The sequence below is a fragment of the Homo sapiens genome, chromosome 4, assembly GCF_000001405.40.
Source record: "Homo sapiens chromosome 4, GRCh38.p14 Primary Assembly".
NCBI classification, from domain to species: Eukaryota; Metazoa; Chordata; class Mammalia; order Primates; family Hominidae; genus Homo; species Homo sapiens.
The window spans coordinates 16,490,613-16,515,483 of NC_000004.12; the positions used below are offsets into that span (position 1 = coordinate 16,490,613).

The 24,871-nt window shown below is 39.9% G+C and overlaps 1 protein-coding gene and 1 long non-coding RNA gene across 24 annotated transcripts in view; one reads left to right on the forward strand and one right to left on the reverse strand.

Annotated features, from left to right (window-relative positions):
- LOC105374505 (uncharacterized) overlaps positions 1–24,871 on the forward strand; it is a 190,382-nt gene that overhangs the window by 129,748 nt on the left and 35,763 nt on the right. The gene's annotated exons all lie outside the window — the stretch shown is intronic.
- LDB2 (LIM domain binding 2) overlaps positions 10,929–24,871 on the reverse strand; it is a 397,105-nt gene continuing 383,162 nt past the window's right edge. For 6 of the 22 annotated variants that reach the window (NM_001290.5, XM_006713975.5, XM_024454280.2 and 3 more), the window contains 3 exons: positions 21,369–21,492; positions 17,923–18,074; positions 10,929–12,261 (listed from right to left, as the gene is read on the reverse strand). In NM_001290.5, the coding sequence (NP_001281.1) occupies positions 12,031–12,261; positions 17,923–18,074; positions 21,369–21,492 (507 nt within the window). In that variant the 3' untranslated portion in view covers positions 10,929–12,030. Of the gene's footprint in view, positions 12,520–15,227; positions 15,371–17,922; positions 18,075–21,368; positions 21,493–24,871 lie in introns of all 22 variants that reach the window. The other 16 variants (XM_017008813.3, XM_017008812.3, XM_017008821.3 and 13 more) reach the window with 9 other exon arrangements.

Sequence of the window (24,871 nt, forward strand, 5' to 3'; positions counted from 1 at the left end):
TTTTCTTTTAGTTTGATGTTACAAACAAGCTTTGTATTTTTACAAAATAAAATTGTATTAGTCCGTTCTCACACTGCTAATAAAGACATACCCGAGACTGGGTAATTTATAAAGGAAAGAGGTTTAATTGACTCACAGTTTAGCATGGCTAGGGAGGCCTCAGGAAAGTTACAATCATGGCAGAAGGGGAAGCAAACACGTCCTTCTTCACATGGCAGCAAGATAGAGAAGTGCTGATTGAAGTGAGGGAAAGAACAGCATGAGGGTAACCACCTTCATGATTCAATTACCTCCCACAAGGTCCTTCCCATGACATGTGGGGATTATGGGAACTAAAATTCAAAATCAGATTTGGGTGGGGACACAGCCAAACCATATCAAAAATTAAATAATCTTTTTAATGAAATTTTAATCTATTGCTTTTATACTTGACAAGTCAGTCTACAATCACAGACAAGAAAGATAATACAACTATATTTTCTTCTTATTTTACACTTCTGTTTTACACATTTAGCTGCGTGTTCTAGCTGAAATTTATTTATTTTCTCTTCTGAGTGCTGAGAATTTACAATTATGTCCTCCTCCCATAGTTAGCTAATTGTGTAGATATCATTAATCAAATAATTCTTTCCTTTAGACTTGTGATGCCATTATATTATAAACAAAATCTTTACACATGCTAGAGTTTGTTTTTAAGCTATCTATTCTGATTCAACAATCTGTCAGTTGTCATAAGTACAATATTTTTTGAATTACTGATGCTTTATAATGCATTTAAAGAGAGAAAAACTGCTCTTCACCAATTGCTCTTATTTTTTAAAAGACTCCTTAGCAATTCTGCTTGATTGTATTTCTTAAAGAAATGTCAAATGATATTTGGGAACAAAATAATTTTGGGATTTTGATTGAATATTTATGTTAATTCAAGATAAATATACATCTTTGTAGAAACATAATCATAATAGTACTTGGTGTTTATTGAATACTTTTGATGTTTCAAAAGTGCAACATAAATAATATCTCATTTAATTTCCAAAACAACCTTATGGAATAGGTTCTTTTATGATATTCACTTAAAAAATCAGGCCAAGAGGAATAATTTCCAAAATCCACATCGCTGATTAGAGGCATAAACTCAGGTCTGACTCTACTGCTTATGTATGAGAGATCCTTCCAATTGTGTTCTTTTTCTCTATCATAGTAGATTTTTATCATTTTGCTTATATGGATTTTATACTTTTAAAATTAAAATTATTCCTGCATATTTTATATACGTTCTTGCTTTCATTCATTTTACTTCTCTGCAGTTATTTTTGACAAACATGAAAGGTGCTAATTTGTATATTGATAGTGTACCAGGCCAACTTGGGAACCTGTTGAAAATGCTCTCAGTTAACTGTCTTGGATGTTCACCAGCAAAAAAATGATGTGTTAATATTGCTAACGTGGCAAGTCTCCCCAATTTGATCTACAGATTCAATATAATCCTCATCAAAATTCTACTCTGAACACAGATGCATGAAGGAAATGAAATAATAGAAAATAAAATGTAACAGTATATCATGGAAATAATTTACCACGATCAAGTAGAGTTTAACCTAGTAAAGTTAGGAAATAAATCAACAAAATAATTCTTGTGAATAGTACAACAGGCAAAAGTATACTTGATCATCTCCTTAGTCGGAAAATGGCATTTGCTAAAATTTAACTTCTGTCAGTGATTAAATAAAAAACATTAATTAGAACATTTAATTAATTTATTTTTATTTACTTATTTAATTAGAGATGGAGGTCTTCCTTCCTTATGTTGCCCAGGCTGGTCTCAAACTCTTGCACTCAAGTGATCTCCCAGGCTAGGCCCAGCCCTGGCCTCCCAAAGTGTCGGGATTACAGGCGTGAGCCACCATGCCCAGCCAGAACTTTTTAGAAGATAGTTTTCTTTACATATGATAAGATTGACAACATCATATTAAATGAATAAACACACTAGAATCAATTTTACTAAAACCAAGAATAATACAAAGATGCCTGTTACCACTGTCAACTATTTAGCACAGTTTAACTTTTAGGCAGTGGATTAAATAAAGAAATAAAAACAAAAGATAAGTCCATTGAAAAGGGAGAGAGAAGATCCTCAGTATTTACAAATGAATTAATTATATTTTTTAAAAATTCTATAGAATGGAATGAGAATTACAGAGAAAATTAATTATTAGAATTAATAAGAAAATTCAGTAAAATTGTTCAATTAAGACATCAGTGTACAGAAATGTAGCAATTACTAGAGCATAGAATGGAAAAAAATTCCATTGGTTGGGCACCTGATTATGAGGAAACAATTGTAATGAATCTCATAGGCCCCTGCTTTTGGAATCCTTGTGATTTAATGTGGAGATGGCAAATGGAAGAAACCCCCGCTCACAAGCTCTGCTGCTTTGCCATGGCAGGCGCTGCTGAGTTCACACCTTTCTTCACTCTGAATAAGTTACTACCTCAGAAGCTTTCCCAATGCAAGTTCCCGAGAGACTACTCACCATCTTAGATGGTGAGGAAAACAAAACTTGTTTGATCCCTTATAGGGCCTACGTTTTCCCAAATTTCCTTTTTCTGCAAAATGAAAGTTTTCATTTTTGTGACAATGGATTTCAGCTATATCTCAGAAGCCCATGCTATTAAAACAATTTCATGCTCATTTGTGAATTTTTGAAGATCTCTTTTACGGCATTAATGCTTTCACTAGAACATGACAGAGGAGTTTGTAAACCCCAAAAGAGTAAACTACTTGTAACAAATAATTGAAAGAGAGAGAATGACTTTTTATTACTGGATTGACCTAAATTTGGAATCAGAGAACAGGGCTGAAGATAGAGCATGTCAGCTCTGGAAGGCATCAAAAGGAGAACCAGTTTGCTTATCTGAGGAATTTTTTTTTTTTTTTTTTTTTTTAGACAGTCTCTATCTGTCACCCATGCTGGAGTGCAGTGTCACAATCTCGGCTCACTGCAACCTCCACCTCCCGGGTTCAAGTGATTCTGCTGTCTTAGCCTCCTGAGTAGCTGGGATTACCGTACACACCACCACACCCGGCTAATTTTTGTATTTTTAGTAGAGACAGAGTTTCGCCATGTTAGCCAGGCTGGCCTCAAATTCCTGATTTCCAGTGATCTGCCTGCCTTGGCCTCCCAAAGTGTTGGGATTACAGGCGTGAGCCACTGCTCCTGGCCAGGAATGGATATTTTCAGGAGATTATTTGAAGGCTACTGGAAAGTGAGAAATGTTTCATTTGTCTAGAATGGTAAAGTTTTAGAGTGAATAGAAACTGAGAAAAAAGGTAGGGTTTGGTGGGGCTTTTGATGTTGCTTCACCAATTTCCTTAATGTATAGTTTTGTTTTTTTTTTTTCTCCCGATATGGCGTCTTCCTCTATCGCCCAGGCTAGAGTGCAGTGGCACGATCTGGGCTCACTGCAACCTTTGCCTCCTGGATTCAAGCAATTCTTCTGCCTCAGCCTCCCGAGTAGCTGGGACTACAGGCATGCACCACCACACCTGGCTAATTTTTGTACTTTTAGTAGAGATGGGGTTTCACCATATTGGCCAGGCTGGTCTCGAGCTCCTGACCTCATGATCCACCTGCCTTGGCCTCCCAAAGTGCTGGGATTGCAGCCGTGAGCCACTGTGCCTGGCCAATGTATAGTTTTAAAAACTTTTCAATGTCTTTTTCAGCTCAGTGGCTTCAAGCAAAAAACATCTTTATATAAACACCAACAGTTCAAATGCATTAGGTTTTGTTTAAAACCGAAACTTCCCAATACTCCCAATGATCAGAGACACCATCTTAACTCTTCTGATGAATAAAAGGAGGTGGCCAGAGAGGAACTTTGTGGAAACAACCAGACACCCAGCTATGTGTATGTGTATTAATGTGTTACCATCCACCATCTCTCTTAGTCTTTCCTGACAATACACAATCACAGCATTTGCCTTTTCCCCAGAAATCTGAGGCTTAACAGAGAAAAAACAGATTTTGGAGTCCTGCACTGATTCAAACTTGACCTTGCTATTTTCTGTCTGTGCTACCTTGGCAAATTATTCACCCTCTCTGAGTTTCATATACAAAACACTTGCATCCCCAGGTTGCAGTGAAGGATAAATTAAATGCAAAGTGCTACATGGTAAGTGCACAATACATTTGAGATCCATACCTCTAAACTCCTAGAGCTTTTATCTTCTGTGCTTTGTTGACACCTTGAGTTTATTCAGCCTTATGTATGTGGTTAGCATTTTATGCACTGTCCCTTATCCCAAGTCAATTGAGAGCACCTTGAAGGTGGAGGCTAGGTACAGGAATCTCTAGTAATGCTTCGCATGGTGTTAGGCATATGTCAGATACCCAATAAATGAAGTTTGATTTAACAAACTCTTTTGAACCTTCAACAAGCCTATCAATGATAAATAAATTCTAATAGGATGAAAAAAGGGAATGGACCAGTCATAAATAAGTGGGGTAATACATTACAGGATCTTCCATTAGTGGACCATTATATAGAAACTAAGATTATGTTTTTAAAGAATACTTAATGAGGTAGCTCATGATATATTATTTAATGAAAGGGGTAGAATCTGTAATTGTCTACTCTGAATATGATCAGTATTGTAATGTATGTGAGACAAGAAGACTTGCAGGATATGTATCAAAGTATTAGTATTGATCACATTAGAGCAATGAGATTACTTTCTTATTGTTCCTCTTTGTTCAAATGATGTACAATGAGCATGTATTACTGTACAATCAGAGGGAAAAAGCCTAGCAATTTTTTCTTATGGAGGATGGAGGGGATATTCCATTATAAAATGAATTTCCTAAGGTTGCTGCAAATCCTGCTTTAGGGAAATTGATCTTGATGGCCTTGTTCTCACAGCACCCCACCCCACATAGCACCAATGTGAGTTGTGTTATCCTATTGCATTAAATGTTCACCCCAAGGTTAAAGAGAAATAGAGAAAGAAAGGATTTCCTGCAGGACTGGGCCACTTATTTATAAGTCCCTTGTCAGATGCCCTTGAGATTTCAAGGTGTTAAAAAGGGGCCTCCCTGCTTGTGCCATTACCAGGTAAGCAGAGTCTTGACCTCTGATGTACTCTTTGACAACCCCACAAAATACATAGTGAATGGCAGCAGGGTGGATGTCAGGACCCCTCTCCCAGGCCAGAGGATGCTGACCTGCAGACTGTGTACCTGACATGACAGCAAGTCTAATAAAGTGGCTCAGAGTCAAGATGGCATGTTGTCATTTGTGAGTTCTGCAACTTTGAGAAAACTGTTTAATTGTTCTGTCTTATTTGCAAAATGGGGGATAATAACTTCACCTCACTGTTAAAGACTGAATGTTTATGTCCTCCCCAAATTCATATGGTAAAATCCTGATCCCCAATGTGATTATATTAAAAAGTGGGGCCTTTGGGAGGTGACTAGGTCATGAGGGTAGAGCCCTTATGAATGGGATTACTGCCCTTATAAAAGGGACCCCTGCTGCTCTCTCCTTTTGGCCATGTGAAGATACACTGAGAAGTTGACAGTTTGCAGGGAAAAGACCCTCACCAGAGCACGACTATACTGGCACCCTGATCTCAGACCTCAACCTCCAGAACTGTGAGAATAAATTTACGTTATTTATAAGCCACCCAGTCTATGGTATTTTGTTATAGTAACCCAAACTGACCAAGATACCCACCAGGACATTGCAGATTCAGTGTCATCATGCTTGTCAAGCTCCTAACTTAACCCATGGAGGATAACCATTACTGTGACTCTTATTAGACCAGTACGGTTTCATGAAAGGAGCACAGGCTTTGACCTTGAGGACCCATGTTCAAAGCTCACTTCACCACTTATTAGCTCTGTGACAAAGGGTGTCACTTAACCTGCGTAAGCATCAGTCTTCATATCTGCAAATGGGGCTTATGATACCTACTTCCAAATGTGGCTATAAGGAGTAATGACCATGCATAGAGTGAATGCAGTAGCCAACAGCAGCCAGGCGGGTAGCAAGAGTGAGTGAAACAGGCTGAATGTTACAAGCTGGAGAGCAGCCAACCAGGGCAACTGTGACTCAACACCAGGCAACTGTTACCATCCAGCAATTCAGAAGTGTGAGGCTGTTGTCTGATCCGATTTTTTAAGAAAAATAAGATACTTCAATTTTTATAGGAAATTCATCAGTTTTCAAGTGCTGGCAAATAATAAGAAACTGTTTAGGCAACATTATATAGGCCACCAGTGGTAGATTGGATTCCTAATTGTTTACTTATAGCCTTTGCCATTTGACTTTGCAAGAGGCAGAGTGTATTTCCCCGCCCTACAGATTCTGGGCTTGTCCTTTTGACTTGCTTTGGCCAATGGCAGTGTGAGCAGGTGTGTGCATGTGTGTGTGTGATTTGACATGGTCTCTATCACTTCTGCCCTGTGCCAAGAGAGGAGCATTCCATGGAGGGCCACTGTTTCTGAAAGAAACATGAGGGACAGACCCACAGCAGAGTTGCCCCAGCTGATGAACAGTTAGTTCCATGAGTGAAAAAAAAGAAAGTGTTGCTTGTCATCAGCCATTGAAATTTTGAAATTATTACAAAGCAAAATCCAAGTAATGCATTACACTTAAGTTCCCAGTTTAAGACCACCAAGGTAAAACATCTGGCAAGTGACTGGTAGATAAAATGTTCTTGACGAATGGTTATCATTACACTTATTCTGGTCCGGACAAATCTTATGGGGTTTCTATACTAAAAGGCAGGCTTGGTCCAATCCCTTGCAAAATGTTTGTTTTGTGCTGATTTGAGTTCTGAGAAACTTAAACACACTCATCTCTGTCTATCTCTTGCCACCTTATATACTTACAGGGATAAATATTACCACTAATCTTGGAATTAACCAACTTGCTTTTGATTTTACAGGCTCCTAGGCGGAAAAGACTTGTCTTGTGTCTCAGATGAGACTTTGGACTATGGACTTTTGAGTTAATGCTGAAATGAGTTAACACTTTGGGAAGTGTTGAGAAGGCATGATTGGTTTTGAACTGTGAAAAGACATGAAATTTGTATGGGGGTGGGAGGGGCAGAGTGATATGTTTTGGCTCTGTGTTGCCACACAAATCTCATCTTGAACTGTAGCTCCCATAATTACCACGTGTTGATGGCAGGACTTGGTGGGAAGTGATTGCATCATGGCGGTGGCTTCCTCCATGCTGTTCTTGTGATAGTGAGTGAGCTCTCACAAGATCTAATGGTTTTATAAGGAGCTGTTTCCCCTTTGCTCACTCACTATCTCTTGTCTGCTGCCATATAAGACATGCCTTTGTTTCTCTCTCACCTTCCGCCATGACTGTAAATTTCCTGAGGCCTCCACAGCCATGAGGAACTGTGAATCAATTAGACCTCTTTCCTTCATAAATTCCTCAGTCTTGAGTATGTCTTTATAGCAGTGTGACAATGGACTAATACAATGGCAAAAAGTGGTGTCATGATTTCTTACTTGGAATTTCTTCACTCATTCAATCCAACCATTATGTATGATAGAGGTTAGATATTAAGAATACAGATTACAATGATTAAACTTCTCAGAGCCAAAGAAGTCTAATGGGACAGTGAGGGGTATTCAGCAACAACAGAATTTGAAAGGAAATGCTGGAATGAAGCAAGAATCAGGTGCTTTTGGACCCCAGATGGGGCAGTCAAGCCTAACCAGAGGTGGGGAGATGTCTCAGAGGACAAGAGAATCAAACAGAGTTTTTAAAGACGAGTAGCTTTGGTTACATAAGAAGGTGGAGAATGGCATTTTAAGAGGATAAATATTTAAAGACACATGAGGCATAAACATTTGGTGTATTCAGAAAATAGTAATCTAGGGTAGTGAGTTAATCAGGTCTAAGTGGGGAGGGAGTGAAAATAAAACTGTAAGGTAAGCTGAGGCTGGGTTGTAAATTGCCTTGGTTGTTGTAGATGTTTTTTTCCCAAAGGTGACAGCTATCAATTTCTTCCCTCCTGGTATGCACGTGCCATTTACCCATCATAAGTGTAGTCTGTCCTTTAGTGCCTTGAACCTGGGCTGGCTTGTGGCTGCTTTGGTGGATAGCATACAGAAGAGGTGCTTCAGTGCCAGTTCTAGGCACTGGCAATTTCTATTCCCTACGTTTTGGGATGCTGTCTCTTGCAACACCCTCTCTTAGAACCCAACCATTATATTATGATAACCTCATAGAGAGGCTATCAAAATGCACTTCAGTGAACAGCACTGGTTAAGCTCCTACCCAATAGCTAGCATAGTGAGGGCACCATCTACAATGTCCAGCCTAGTCAAGGCTCTGATGACTTCTCCCCCAGCTGCCATCTGACACTCTAAGGTATAAATCACCTGGCAAAGAGCAGTGAACTCTCAGAAGGGTAACTAATAATAATCAAGTGTTCTCTTGAGTTAATAAGTTTTGGATTGTTATACTATGCAACAACAAATAACTGGAATAGGTGTTAGATAAATTGTTCTATGCATCATCTGTAATGATTGTGCAATAGTTTGAATATGTCCCCCAAATTTCATGTATTGAAAACTGAACTCCCAAGTTTATGTGTTGATGGCATCTTGAGGTGGGGACATTGGGAGGTAATTAGTGTTAAATAAGGTCATCAGGGTAGGGTCCCTATGTTGAAACTGATGGCTTTATAAGAAGAGAAAGAGTGATCTGAGCTGGCAAGCTTTTGCCCTATTGCCATGTGATGCCCTCCACCATGTCACAATGCAGCAAGAAGCCCCTCACCAAATGCTGATACCATTCAATTGGACTTCCCAGCCTCCAGAACTGTGAGCTAAATAAGCTGATTTTATTTATAAATCACTCAGTCTGTGGTATTCTGATATAACAGAAAACGGACTAAGATTGTATATATAAATGACTTTAAAGAATTGATAAAAGAAAACCTAAAATGGTGAGGTGAGGGTGAGGGATGCACTGGAAGTTATCTTAAAAGTACACAGTGGGAAAGCAATAAAGTATCTGTTTCTCTATATTTTCATTAGTTCTGTTGCTATTACAGTATACATGTGTAACAAACCCGCACATTGTGCACATGCACAATAGAACTTAAAGTATAATAAAAGAAAAAAGAAAATAAAACATTAAAACAGAAAAATAAAAATAAAAAGTAAGAATGTTCTAGGAAGGGAATGTAATATTCTAGGAACAAAACAAAACCAAACCAGGCTTTACAGTCAAGGAAGATCCAGGTTAAAATCCCAACTGTTGCATTCCTGATGTAGGAGACCAGGGACAACTTACTTAATGGAGTAAGCAAATTTGTGCCCACATAGATGTCCTTTATTAAGCCAGAACACTGGTCCCAAGATACTGTTACTGTTGCATCTAGTTGGTTTCTTCTCTGTAGAATGCCCCTCGGTTGATGAAGCCATCTTGCTGTGAAGGTCACAAATCCCTCATACATTCTGGGGATGGTTCCCAATCAATGAAGGGTTGATATTGATACAGGTGCCAAAAGGCTGGGCTGTAGCACAAGCGGGGATAACTCTTCAGTGAGGTCTACAAAGCCTTCACCTCATGGATTAGGCCCAGGAAGCTGACTGTGGAGGCCCATAGCTTTCCTTAGTTCTTTCTCCTTCCCTATCCTGCTTTTCCCACTCTCATATATATATATGATCTTATATATAATATATATATAATTTTTTTTTTCTGTAGAACATACCCTTAATAAACCTCATGTCCCTGAATCCCAGCTTTAGGCTCTGCTTCTAGAGATCCGAACCTAAGACACTTAACCTTTCTTTAGCTTCCCCTTTTCAAATCCCCTTCCCAGAATTCAGTGAGATGATAAATTGAAATTGCCTGGCACTTAATAAACAAACACCCAATAAATAATAACAGATTTCCTCTCTCATCTTTCTTTATCATTAGTGCAAAGTGAAAAATATGAGTAATGTTCTTTAAACATAAAAGATCCTCCAGTGAATTTTCCTTACTCTGTATAGAAAAATAGGCAGGTGAGACATTGATTTTTAAAATGGTAATAATCATGCTTATGCTATGGAGTTATCATGAGGATTAATTGAAATAATGAGCCTTAAGTAGAGTTCTTTAGTGCAGAGCAAGCACTCAGTGACTGGAAGCTACTGCCTTTCTACTTGACTACAACCTCCAAGAACACCATCCAGTCTGTCTTTTCATGTTGTATCCTCGGCTAGCACAGGACTCAGCACAGAGAAGGCATTTCTGTGTTTGCTCAAGAAGCTGCAGTGAACAAGGAAAGAAACAATACTTCATAAAAGATGGCACAGGTTGTAGGACAGTGCTTCTGTGGCCTCGAACTGACCCAATTCTCTCCTCTTTCTTGCTCTTAGTTCTCAAGAATAACTGTAGCATGAGCTGGGAATGAAACATCCTAAGATAAGGGGTGCCTGGCTGAAACAGCCTGAGCTCTGGTCCCAACCCATCCCCTCATAGAAACAGGATGCCCTTCAGTGCTTTAGTCCAGCGTGTCACATGACCCCAGGGTATAAAACCCAGGTCCGGCTGCTTTCCAGGTTCCCTCAGCTGTGGTGCAAATGGGGCTTGCACCATCTGCCCTGGGCAGCTTTTCTGAGTCTTGGGGACTAGGTCCCATGAATCCTAGGCTTCTGTTGTTTCTTGATGCCTGTCTGTAAGTAAGTAATAAACCTGCTCCATGTAATTTGTTGCACATAAGTAAGTAAGTGTCTTCTGGCTCACTGGACTCAGACAAGTTGGTAACCAGTGCACAGTGAACTTACTTCACACAGATTTTATGGTTCCACTTCATTTGGAGTCTGGGCCATGAATCTAAGCTCAATACTTCTGATAATTGTGAGCAGATTGCTACACACGTACTCACACAAATAGCCAGATTCACTTGCTTTGGTCATTAACACAGTTTATTATTGGCACACTTATCAGTAAAGCATACATAAAATACAGCTGTTTTTTAACACACGGAGCCACTGTGCCTTTACATGTGTGGAGGAACATATTAATATGCAAATGGAAAAATTAATTCTCTTATAAAGTTTCACATAAATACACTGGAGTTGCCCAAAAACGAAAAGTCCCCATAAAAGAACCAGGTGAGAGCTTTACAAAATATCATACAAGAAATATACTATAAAAAGAAAGGATGGTCAACTCAGGTACAATTAGAAAACACACAAAGGTTCAGGTTTATTAAACTGCCCACAAAACCAATGGATTACATGGCTTGAAAATATTTGGATCAACAGCAACTTTACAAATGCATAAATTCTTAAGGGTCCAATTGTCTTTCTTTACTTAAAAATCTGCCCTGGTGTCTTTGATGAAAAAAATGACATTTCTTGTTTCAGCACTTGGGCTAAATTGAGTCGACTCAAGACAAGAACCAATTGACATCAGCTCAACCATAAATTACCTTGCTGGGCCCTCTTAGCTGTTGCCCAATGAAAGAAAACATAAAGAAAAAAAAAATAAGGTACATTTAAATTACTTTCCAAAGCTGATTTTTTTGTCTTTTCTTTTTTTACTGAAACAAGAAACTCTCAGATGCAAGTCAAAAAGCAGAAAATATTTTACAATATTAAAAAGTCATCTGTAGTTAGGTTCGGCATATTAATGAGATCCTGAGCACTGAGCATTTATGGACAATATGGCCTTCGTTTGATGCATAAAAAGGAAATTCAACACAAACACGTTGTTAAAACCGTGCCAGAAGATGCGCTAGAGTTTTCTCTCATTTTAATTACAATCAGTGCCAGTATCTGTATTACCTGTGAAGGCCTCCAAGAAAGGGTCATGGAAGCTTACTGGGAATAATCCTCTCAATTAGAAAAAAAGAAAGAAGAAAGAAAATCAGATCATTGTGGTTTAGAAATAGATATTTGCATGGAAAAGTTTTTATCTCTTCTGTTTCCTCTCCTGTAAGTAAAGATTTGCAATTGTAATGATCACCCACGGGCCTATTGACAGTGGATTCTGGTGCCGATCATCTTATTGGGAAGCCTGGGGTGGGGGGTTTTCTGATTTGGTCTCTTGAGTGGCGGGAGGTTTACTGTTCCACGGGCTGTTGTTCCCCAGCGCGGGTGAATTGTTGAAGTCCTCCTCGTCGTCCATGCCGTTGGCCGCATCATATTGCGTGTTTTCTAATCTAGTGATTAGCCTTTCGTCCTCGTCCCCAAACTCACCTCCCATCAGAGTTGGCTCTCCTACCACCATCACATCCTGTGAACAGCAGCTGACATTATTACAGGGAAACCTTGGGAGAGAGAAGCTCAGCTTAAAATAACAGTGGGAGGAGTCGGGGAATCTAGGACAGACACACTCGTGTACTGTACAACGGGGTCAAGTCTCAATGTCGGGGGCCGAGACGCATATTTGATTTCTACAGGAAATAAACATCGCCTCCTGATGTGTAACAACCACGCGAGTTTATGTCCTTAGTGCGCAGCCTGACACTGGAGAACGAGCAATGCTAGCAATCTGCAGAAATAAAAAAATGTATTTTTCAAAATTAAAAAAATCCATGCTTTCAACTTGCCGACATTGGGGACTTTTGAGAGGGCTGTGGAACCTTCTGCTGGGTGCTTCTCAATACCTCCAAAAATCTGCCACTTTTATTTAGGGCCTGTGAGTGGCTTTGGAAACTAGCAGTGACCGGAGACACACGTAAGGTGCAATTCTGCAATATTCACACAACTCATTCCAAACGGTATTTTCTCTGTCCCAGGGATGATATACATTTTAATTGAAGACAGAATCTCTCTTTTCTCTACTCAGCCAGGCCCTTTTATGCAGCCAATATCCTTGACATTCTGCTACTTAATTATGGTAATTAATTTAGGTAAAGTTTTCGATAAAAACAATGTTCACACTGATTTGACAATTTGCATAGCTAATTAAGTCATTAGCAAAAACCTGCTGATTGCCAACAAGCCTTGAATTTACCATCTGTTATTTCATGGTGCCTGTCACCTATCACCACACAGGCAACCCTGCCACCCATCTGGGCAGTAAAGAGAACCGGTCTGTCCAGCTGGTGCCATAAAGGGAAGATGAAGAACGCTAATTATAATTACATTGATGAAGCTGGTAGTCATCAGAGATGGAAGCGTGCAAGAAGAATCCATCTAATCACTCTTTTAAGTACAAATTGTCCTTCCATGCAAATAAGTAAGCCACCTACTGTAGCTGGGAGCATGGGGAGGCCACAGCTGGAGAGGCCAGGGATGGGGAAGAAGAATGCATACACAGGGCAGAGCTCCAGCTTCTTTGTTCAAAGGGGACCATATGGGGTTGATGAGGGACCTTGGCATGGGACAGGACATCTGTCAGGTGGATTCTTCTGGGCAGGCTCTGAGCAATACTCCACTTAAAAGTGCAGTAACTTCAGGAAAGTGACCAACTGTGATCAGCCTCCACTGAGGCCAGAGAAGGTAGGGCTAGCCAGATGCTTTTGGAGATGAGAGGGTGGGGTTTCCAGTAGAAAGGCTAATTCAATAAAATATTTTGACAACTGGGCAGAAATTCATTTTACTAGAGCTTTGCCCAGAGAAGGCCTTCCTGGGACAGTAGAATGGAATACTGCCTACTGTCAGGAGAAGGACCAGTGGGATTTTGAAAGTGTCCATTGAACAAATCCCTTAGTTACCCCCTAGTCTTTTACAATGGAAAACCTTGTTTTATTTATTTCTGCTCCCCACCATTCTTGAGTTAGGGGAGATAATTAATAGGTTTCCAAACTATGTTTTCTGACTAATCATTCTTGTGAATAGATAAAAATGATTTTAAAAAGAAATGTCCCAAATGGAGTAAGTAAGTGCCTAAAATGTGAGCTTGGTAAACCCAGCAATAAAAATGCCAGGGGATATTCATCTCTGTGCTTCCAAGATTTATTTATTTATTATGCAATGAAGAACCAGAAATGACAGTGACATGGAACGAGACTCATGAAGACTGTTAAGGTGAGATGCAAAGTAGATACCGTCCTTCTGACTGGCAGAAAGGATGACAGGATTTTAGATGGAGTGTGGCCACCACAGAGGCATGAATGGTATTCAGTTAGCTGGGCAGCTGCAGTGTTACCTGTTTGGGGATGTTCAGGATAAAAGAGTGCCACTGAGTTATAGGCAATTAGGAGATGACACTTATGATCAAGAACAAAGGGAGATGGAAAGAATAGGGCTAGGTTGTACAGAGCATGACCTGAGGGTTAATCTCATTTCATGACTTGTGTCCAGCACACTTGAAGGGCTTGGAAAACACATGCGTAAGGCGTCACAGGGCAGGAGAAGGATGTTAACCAACCAAGTGGGTCTGCATTAGTATCGTGACTCCAAAGTCATTGAGAGAGGATGGGAGAGTATGAGGAAGCATAATTTGAAAGAGGAGGAGGAAAATAAAAAGCAGCCAACTTAAGCATGATATTAAAAGAAAAGCTCTCAACACTCCAAATGCATTCATTGAATTAGAAAACAACAATCATTGAAGAAAAGTACTATGAACATAGTGGTTTGAATCATTTCCAATGGAGCCAACAGGCTTGTAATCTGTTCGGTGAATCTTTGTTCTAGGAGCAGCTGGAAAAGATGTCTAGGCATAGGTGTTTTTAAATGTACTAAATTTCAAAGGGATGCCACATATGTTTTACTAATTATATAAAATATCCCTAGCTAGATACTTAGTTGTGTGTGTGTGTGAGAGAGAGAGAGCGTGTGTGTGTGTGTGTATGTGTTTGTGTGCGTGCATAATTGACAAATGGCAAGTTAAGGGCTTCATATGCACATAGACAGTTAAGGCCACTTAAAAATTTATGTGCATGTTTCTATTGGTTCTTCTAAGCCTCTAGACTAGGATAGTGATTATCTGCTCTGGCAGTCTTGATTTGTTATTCTCACACAAAATAAATAAAGCATGATGCACATTCTAGGCTGCCTCTGATTAGGGGTTGTTAGCAACATTTCCCCCCCATTTTGTTAAAAATCCCCCCAACATTGGCAGTGAGAGTACATTTCCTTCCCATCTCTATCCTGTGTGTCCACGAGAGACAACAGCGAGCCATCTGAGAGAGGTCCATATGCCCTCAGCTCCCCACAAGGCCAACTTCTGCTCCTTGCTGGAAGCCCGGAGGTGCCACCAGCTCTCACCCATTTCACATCTTCTCACTAATCCCCCGTGCAAAGACCACCAACCTCTGAGGAGGACTGGAAGTGACTCCTTTCAGGGCCCCTCAATGCTTCTCCTTAAATTGGCCAGAAGGGGTCACTGCTGTTGAATGACACAGGTCTCCATCCCTCCCAGGGTTGAGGCTGCAGTTCGGGATCGCTCCTAGCCCCTGCTCATGGAGTGAGAAGCAGAATCCAAGGATTAAACCCTAGCCCTCGCCAGACACACACATCGCTGCCGCAGCAGCTACACAGACCACAGCTGTGGTCATAGTGGCACATGCCTTTGGACCAGACAGTGGATGCCTGCAGGTAGCATCTCTAGTTAACCAGTAGAATAGTGTTGATAACTCAGTAGACAGGGTTAAAAGATATGGTCACCACAAGTCATCCAACGCTTATCATTTAATGTCCATTCAACTCCAGGACACATATGAATTTGTACATTTTCCTAATCTGGTTGTTCTTTCTGCCTCTCTGTAACATCTGACAATTTTACTTTATTAAAACATCTTTAACTGCATAGTGTGGAGATAGTGATGGAATCCAACTCTCATTTCCTAACGGTGCCTTGCTCTTAATCACACAAAATGCAAAGGGTCTCTACTTGTTACAAACCCTCTGGATACAGGTAACCTCCAGTAAAATACAGTTGTTGATTTGGAAGACAGGAGCATAACAGAGTACAGAAGCTATATCCTCTTTCAAATGAAATTGAAATGATTCTGACTAGACCATATGTGTCAAAACATATGACATGTAAGCTGCTACTCTCAACTTCTACAACCATGTCAGACATCACTAATGGATGGCCCACCAAACCCAGACTAGACCTTAGAATCCTCCTCAATACCATACTCTGAGGGCTGGCAGGAGAGAGAAAATGTCCTTGCCATCCCTAGATTAGACAGTGAGCTCTTCAATGACAGGGCTTTGTTGTTGTTGTTTTTCACCTTGGTATTGCTAGTACCTGGCACAGTGTGGGCACATAGTAGGAGCTCAGAAAACATCTGTTGAACTGATTGGGATTCTTGCAGCTACAGTGCCTTTAAGTAGCTATATCACCGTTTCAGAATCCTCTGAGATGCACTTTTTCTTATTTGCTAGAGGAAACTAACGAATGTTACTGCCTTTAACTCCAGGATTGGATAAAGAAATGGGCTCCTGTGTACACTTTTTCAGTTGATTTATCTAAATCAGGCCATTTTCTCTATTCAAAATTTCACCAGAAGTGGGCATAACTTGATACTTTTTTAATAAAGAGACTCTTTATTTCCCTCTTTTGGCTTTTTCCCCCTGATCTTCAGAGGTATTAGGTATAAAGCCTAGCTCAGAAAGTGGAGGACCACCTGGAGACTATTTTCATTATTTGAAGACTGCAATTTGTAACCTTGTAAAATGTAACATGGCACCTTCCATTTTAGGCTGGTCATTCTCCCCATGACCCCTTCTTTCTAATGCAGTGGGAATGAAAAGTATACCCCCTGTCTGTGGGAGACAGGAGAAGAGAAACAATGGCCCAAGGAATCCTCAGGGTACTGATGGGGTTGGTTTTGGCCAAAGAGAACTGACCAGTGGAAAGTAGATACAAGTAGGTGGGGGCAGATGTGAAAGACACACTTGGAAGTAAGTGGGGAATCCCTGTGCGAAGGTCCACTCGCACATGGAAGCGATGGAGCAGGATCAGAACAATAAGGGTAAGGATGAGAGCAAGAAGGGTGAGGGGGAAAAACGTGGGAAAGACGGAAAAGGTAAAATTGTACTGGTTGAGGGATGTAACAAGAAATAGGGCAACTTTGGAAAACAGAGTATCTAAAAGGTATCCATGAAGCACTAAGAAAATCTCAGGATTTGAATGATGGCCAAACACCTGGTGATAGGGTGGTATGACAGGGACAGCAGAGAAGGAACAGAAGCACTTTAAAGGAGCAAAGTACTTAAAGGAGATAGTCTAATAAGGGGCTGGGGAGTTAGGAGATGGGAGGGAATTAGGCAGAAGGGACAGAATTCAAGAAGAATGAATAAAAGATGAAGAAAGTTCCTGTGCAGTTTTCACTATATGGGATTACCCTCAGCTGTCAGCTTTGGAATTCAAAGAAGTCCCCTTCCTAATGGTCTTTGTCAAGATAAAGAAATGAAAGAAAGGGGCCAAGGGTTCGAGAGAGTTGAGACCAAACCAGAGGCTGATCCTCCCCCTTAGCTAATGCAATGGGCTAAGCGAGAGCTTCACTGAGCTACATGTTTAGTGGCTGCTGGTTAATTACCTGAGTCTTAAAATAAGAGGGGACGCCCATGTTGGGAAGGCCCAGTCAAATTACAATATGGGACTGAGCCGCTGGGAGCTAGTTTCCAGTGGAGCACAGGGTCTCCAATGATGGTGCTGAGAGGCCTTAATACGCCACCAGGCATGCTGCTAAGTGATATTTTAATTAAACCTTAAGTGACATATCTCCTGTCTGTGACTCTGATGGCTTTTTAATTCAGGTCCCATTGCAGCACGACTCTTAATATTCCTTTCTAATTCCCAGTTTGCAGGGGAAGGTTTCCATGGCAGAGTTCCTCCCTCCCATCCCAACCTCTGTCCCTGTCTTTTATCCCTCCCCCACCTCCAACCTGCCCAGGATTTTTTTTTTTTTTCTAATGAAAAGAGACTTTAATTTGGGCCCTTTGAGTAGGAAGCAGACAGTTAGGATTTCGGGCCTAAGAGGAAAGCGAGACTTACAGGTACCTGACTGGACAGACTCAGGTTTGCAGCTGTGGTCTTCTTCTTGCTGCCAGTGCTGTTTGCATTGTTCCCAGCGCTGCTGTTGGAAGTGCTGCTGGTGGAATTTTTCCTTTTTCTCCGTTTGGTTGTTGGTTGCCTTGTGGGTTCTGCTGCAATATGGAAAAGGGAAGAGGGATCAGTTCTAGGGCAAAAGCAACAAGGCAATCATCAGTATGGTTACTCTAAGGAAGCTGTCTTGGTAAACTGAAGAGTAGACTATTTAAACATTTTCCATTTCTTATAGCTTTAGAAAGAATAAAAGGAGAAAACTGTAGATGTGTTTTTAGCACAAAATATGTGACACTCTTTTCTTTGTGTGTAGATCAAATAATTTTTATTTAATCATTCTCTCTAATGGTATGTATTTAATTTTGTAAAAATATTTTTTAGGTATGTAACTACAAGTACCACTTTCATAATTGGATTTAAAATATTTTGCCATTAGAAAATTTGGGAAACTTTTTTCCTCTGGTGTATCTTCTCTTTAAAACAGAGAGAGGACTCCTGGGATCCCTAGGGTAACTAACTCCAAGGTACGAGTGAAGTATGAACTTTAAATAGCCAAATTCATGAGCCAGTGTGCAACAGCAGCATCTACTGGTGAAATGTCATATTGCAACCCACCTCTATTATACCTTTATAGAATTCTCAAGTAAAGTCAGTTCCATCAGCTGTGGATGTGGAGCTTAGGGATTCCCAAGTTCAGAAGGAATACCCATGGTTTGGGCCCTGCTGTTTAATAAATGCTACTAATTCCAAAATTGCTAGAAAAAAATATGTCTGAGTACATGGTATAGCCAGCATATTACTGAGGGGAAACTAGACCTCTTAAAGAAAGGCCTATTCAGAAACAGAGAAAAATATTTTGGACTTGAAGGATGGGGCAACCCTTTAATAGAAATATAGAGACCCAAGGTAAAGTGTGATAAGAGAAATATTCTTTATTTATTTGTTTGTTTACTTATAAGGTATAGAACATTATGTAATGCTTGTCACTATTCTTAATGTTTCCAATGCACTATTTTATATTCAAAAAATCCTATTAGTTAGGAACTATTATTGTAATCTTTGTTTCATAAATGAGAAAGTTTCAGAAGCCTTCTCCTGCCAGTTACTGAATAAGTTGGAAATGGCAAGTAAGAGCATCCTTTTTGCCAGCTCTATTTTAGACCTGACTGTGATGGAGAGAAGGCAACTCAGGGCTACACTGGAACCAAATAAGAGGGCCTTGTAGCATTTTCTTAAAACACCTATGCTGGACGGGTGCCATGGCTCATGGCAATAATCCTAGCATTTTGGGAGGACGAGGCAAGTGGATTGTTTGAGCCCAGGAATTCGAGACCAACTTGGGCAACATGGTGAACCCCATCTGTACAAAATATACACAGATTAGCCAGGTGTGGTGATACGCACCAGGGGTCCCAGATACTCTTGAGGCTGAGGTGTGAGAATCACCTGAGCCCGGAAGTCGAGGCTGCAGTAAGCTATGATTGTGCCACTGCAGTCCAGCCTGGGTGACAGAGCAAGACCATGTCTCAAAAACAAAGCAAAGCAAGACAAAATCACACCAAAAAAACACCTATGCCACTTCTGGTGGACAATGGGAAGGATCTTCCTCTAAGGCTCATTTCAAAGATCACTTAGTCCAATGAGTATCCCTGACTTCTTTTTGACTTTTCTACTCACCTACTATTTTTTTATCGTCCCTAAATATTTTGTCTCTTATGCTTAAAGATTTTCATCAAATGGTCTATCATTTCCTTCCATCGAGTTCAGGGTGCTTGCTCTGAAGGATGAGAGGAACAGGATATAGAACTGTTCCAGGTCATGGAGTTGAATAAAGGGTTGAGGAGGACATTCTAAAGTCCAGCAGATACTCAGGCCCACTCCTGACAAGTATCTTCTTTCTTTGACCTTAAGAGTATAAATTTGGTGCTCTTTTTATTTATACTTTGACCATGAAATTGGGGCAAGTGTACCTAAAATGCGTATTCTGGACTATTCCCATTACCAGTAGGTGGCTGTGGTAGTAAAATAATAGACTTTGGAGACATAAAAACCTTTTGGTGACACAGTCCTCCTTCATTTGTTAGCCATGAGACTGGCTGTGTCAAATTACTACCCTAAGTCTCAGAGTGCACTATATAAAATGGAGATAATACATTTAAAGTTATGGTAAGGATTCAATATTTTTGCATGCTTTATTCAGTTTTGTAACTCCCAGTGGCTAGAACCACGTCTGGAGCCTAATAAATCTCAATAAATAATTATTGAATGAATGAAGGAATTAATGAATAATATATCAATTATATATGCCTATGTTAGAAAATATAGCACTTGCTGAGTGGATTACGTTTTCTCCATAAAGTCTTATTAGCGTTAAAAGAAAAAATAAAGCCAATTTAAGCACATTTAATATATTTGAAAAATAATATTCCAAAAGTCTAAAATTCCCATAAGATGGGGATGTAACTATTCTACATAAAATAACACTTATTTTCTCAGCTTTCTAAATATGTACTTGATTAAATTTGCTATATTCATTTTACATAAAACCCCTGGCCACTTACCAGCCGAAGGTGACCATTATATTTTGTGATTCAGAAAGCTATGTGCCTCGTGTTAATAATTACTTTTTATAAAAATAATTTTTAGCAAATGGCTACATTTTGCTTTTATGATGAATGAGGCTCAACACACGCCTGGGAGTGAAAGTATATTAGATAGGAAGACAATTAATGATGACTTGAATCGGTGATTTCAGAACCCCAGCAGGAGACTATAGTATCTAAACTGCATTCTAGGGAAGTGAGGGAAATGGAATTGCTTATATATTCTCTTCATGATCAGAACTTTTGATACAATATATCTTTAAAAACAGAGCAAACTTCATTTTTCCTTCATCCTTTCCTCCTTCATTCATCTGTTCCTTTCTTCCTTCCTTCTTTCCATCCCTTCTTTTTTCTCCTTTCCTTCTTCCTTATCTTCCCTTTCTTCCTTCCTTTTCATAATGTCTGTCATTCTTAAAAAACAAAAACCTAAAACATTAGGCCGTGAGAAGCCAGCAGTCTGGCTCAGTGGAAGAACCACTAGATTAGAAGACAGGAACCCCTGGCTCTGATCTCAGCTTTGCCAATGACCTTCTTGATGACCTTGAACACGTTATTTTACCTCTCTGAGTTGCAGGTCCTAATCTGGTAAGTGAGGAGACTGTAGATAATTCTTAAGGATGTTTGCCTGTCACAAATTCATTGTCTTTATGTCCACAACCATGGTCAGAATATCCCTAATAAGCTACTTGTCCTGATAAATTAATGATCACTTTCTTCTTTTTCACATCACTTCATCCCTGGAAGACACCTCTGAAAACGTGTTTAGAGAGAGAGTGAAGAATGAGGGTGTACCTGGCGGAGCCACCATCCTCTGCCACTTCTGAAACAAGCAGGTCTTCAGGCAGTCTCGGGGACTGAGGTTGTAAGTTTTATGTCTCGACATCAGTTCCTGCATTGGCTCCAATATTACACACAACTGCAAGAAGTTCAAAGACATTGGCATTTCACTACTTCATAACACTAATTACAATAAATAATGCTAACAGCTGGAATCAAGTAGACAGCTTTGAGAATACTTTTATTTTCCTGGTTTTGATTTTCTTTATATAAATGTGAGGAAAAATAAATATTACAAAAACTTGATTATATCTACTTAATTATCATTTATAATATATTACAGCTGAATGTGATTCACACGGATACACACACAGACACACACAAACACACACATATACGTGTACACACACACCTGTACAGACAATGGGGTGGATATATGTAGCTCTATTCTGAATTCAAATAACTCTTTCTGGTTAAAAACAAACAAAACAAAACAAAAACAAACAAACAAAAAAAACCCCTCTTCTTTCAGCATGCTTCGATTTCTACTCTGGTTTCTGTTCTTGTTTGTATAACCACACGCTGTGAGTTACAATGCTAGTTTATGCAGATTGGTAGTGAAATCCATCTTTTAAACTGGAGAACAGAGTGGCAACTACAGGCACTTTTTGATCTTAACTCTTAGAAAGGTGGATGGTGAATACTATTTTATTTTTATTCATGTACTCATCTGTATTTTATGCATGATGATACTGTAAATAACATATGTCAACATTCATTCAATGTGGGAGGTTTTTTTGTGGTTCTGCATACAGCCACCTTGTTCCTTCCTTTGGTCAGAATTTTTTCAGCCTTACTTTGGTCTAAGACATCTGATGACAAAGATTAATGAGGAAAACAAGAAGATAAAACCATTTAGGATTGCCTTGGACTTTTCCGAATTCCTTCTCAATTGGAAGCTCATCAGAATACCACTGCATTGAGAATACTGTACTTATGAGGACAGAGACCACAATTTGGAATTGCACATTAATCACTATTGCAATTACAATGATATAAATATCGGCCATGCACCTTCTTCTGTGAAAAAGCATCACCTTTTATGAAAGACATGTGCAGTCTTCAGCGTCATCAGCCTATCTTCCTTATTAGCCCCTCCTCTTATGCAATCCCTCATCTTGAACATGTCCCTAGAGGCCACCCTGCTTTTGGTCCTCTGAGCTCTGAGCCTTGATATCTCTGAAGACTGCACATCTCTACCTGGAATTCTTCTCTCCCCTCCTCTTGGAAAATGCTCACTCATCCTTGAAGACATAGTTACTTCTTCTGTTAAGCCTTCCTCCCAGATGTGCACCTCTCCCCACACAGGCTGAGCTGCGTGCCTCTCTTCAGTTCTCCATAGCACCCAGCTCCTTCTGCTGTATGGACTCACTCATTCATGCTATGAAACCATCTGCTTCTAAGTCTGCCTTTACCACTAGGCCATGAATTCTTCCAAGGCTGAGACTACGCCTTTTATCTCTGTGTTCCTAGTTTAACTCAAACGAATAGATGCATTTAAAGAGTGATTCTTAGAAAGTCTGGAGGATCTTCCTATGCTGACGTTTCTCGAAGTGTGATCTAAGAAACACTTCCATCAGAATCAAATGGGCTGACTGTTAAAAATTCAGATTTCAGGGCTATGCCACTTCTGTTTCATTGGGTCTTGAGGTGGGGTTCCAAATCTGTATACCCCTGTTGGGGCTCAGAAAATGATACCCCCAAGTGAAGGCCTCTGTATAAAGCAAAGTTTGTCTTTTACTTTGTCCTGCCCTACTCTGCCATCCCTCATTCGCCCCCACAGCAAGCCATAGAAACTAGAATGCCTCTTCCCCAAGGAAGGTCATAGAAACCAGAACCTATCCCCGCCAAAGGTAGACATAAAATCTAAACATATTATTCTAACTTTTCCCTGCCTTTCTGTATAAGAGCTGACCATAAAGAAATTCTGTGACCTGCTTTGGAAGTAGGTCATAAGACCCACATTCCAGCAAGGATCCTGTCCCATATCCAGGAGGAAGGAATGCTGAACGGAGAGACAAAGAAGAATCTGAACAGACAGGCCTTGCTGCGTTTCCCTATTCAGTTATTCCCATTAGGTCATACTCTCTTTGTCCAATCACAGTCCAACACAGTTGTGCATTCCTCATTGAGCCTAAACATAAAAATGAATCATTTTTCCTGTATCTTTGGGTCTTCATTCTCAAGGCTCCTGTGTCATGTAAAACTTTGATTCAATAAATATGTTATACTTTTCTCTTGTTAACTTGTCTTTTGTTATAGGAGTGACCCTTATAATAGGTAAGAAAAGGAATCACACTTTTGTATCCCTATGCCCTCACATAATTCTGACAAACACGACTAGAATTTGAGGTCCACTTACCTATATATCCAGGGCTTTCGAACAGATAATAGAGACAGCAAGACTTGCACAAACCCCCAGTGGTGTCCAGTTCTAAATCCATCCTCTTCTCACTTCCACCAACTGTCTCATGTTCTCTTCCTTCCTTCTTAAGTCTAAGCATGATAATTATGTTTACCTAGAAAGGTTCTTCAGTTGTTTGTACCTATTACTGACCTAAGCTTGCTTAAACCACTCACCCCATTTAAGGGCCAGCTGCACTTTTCTTTCATTTGTAATTTCTCTGGAAGACAATAAGATTAAAGCCTGAACAACACAAGGAATATGCACATCACAGGGGCCAAGACACCAACCCTAATAAACCAGGCTGTAAAGTAATGAGACCTGGGTTAGTAATGCTGGATCTTCAATCTTGCTTACTTTGATGTCCTTTTTGAAATCTAAAGTGTTAATATGGAAAAACCTGTGAAAAAGGCAAGATTACTATAGAGTTAACTCCATATTCCAACATTATGAAGACTCTGTGTGCATTACTCTGTTAAGAATTCCTTGCTGATCCCACTACAGGGTATATCCCCAAATGAAGATAAATCCTTCTACCAAAAGGACACCTTTACTCATATGTTCATTGCAGTACCACTCACAATAGCGAAGACGTGGAATCAACCCAAGTGCCCATCAGTGGTGGATTGGATAAAGAAAATGTGGTACACATTCACCATAGAATACTACACAGCCATAAAAAAGTACAAAATCATGTTCTTTGTAGTAACATGGATGCAGCTGGAGTCCATTATCCTAAGTGACTGAACACAAAACCAGAAAACCAAATACTGCATATTCTCACTTACAAAAGAGAGCTGAACATTGGGTACATATGGGCACAAAGATGGGAACAATGACACTGGGCACTCCAAAAGCAGGAGGGAGGGTTGAAAAACTACCTATCAGGTACTATGTTCACTATTTGAGTGACGGTGTCAATAGAAGCCCAAACCTCAGCATCACATAACATGCATGTGTCACAAACCTGCACATGTACTTCCTGAATCTAAAATAAAAATTGTAAAAAAAGATGCTTTGCTACTACAAATCAAAGTGTAAGTTACAGACTACT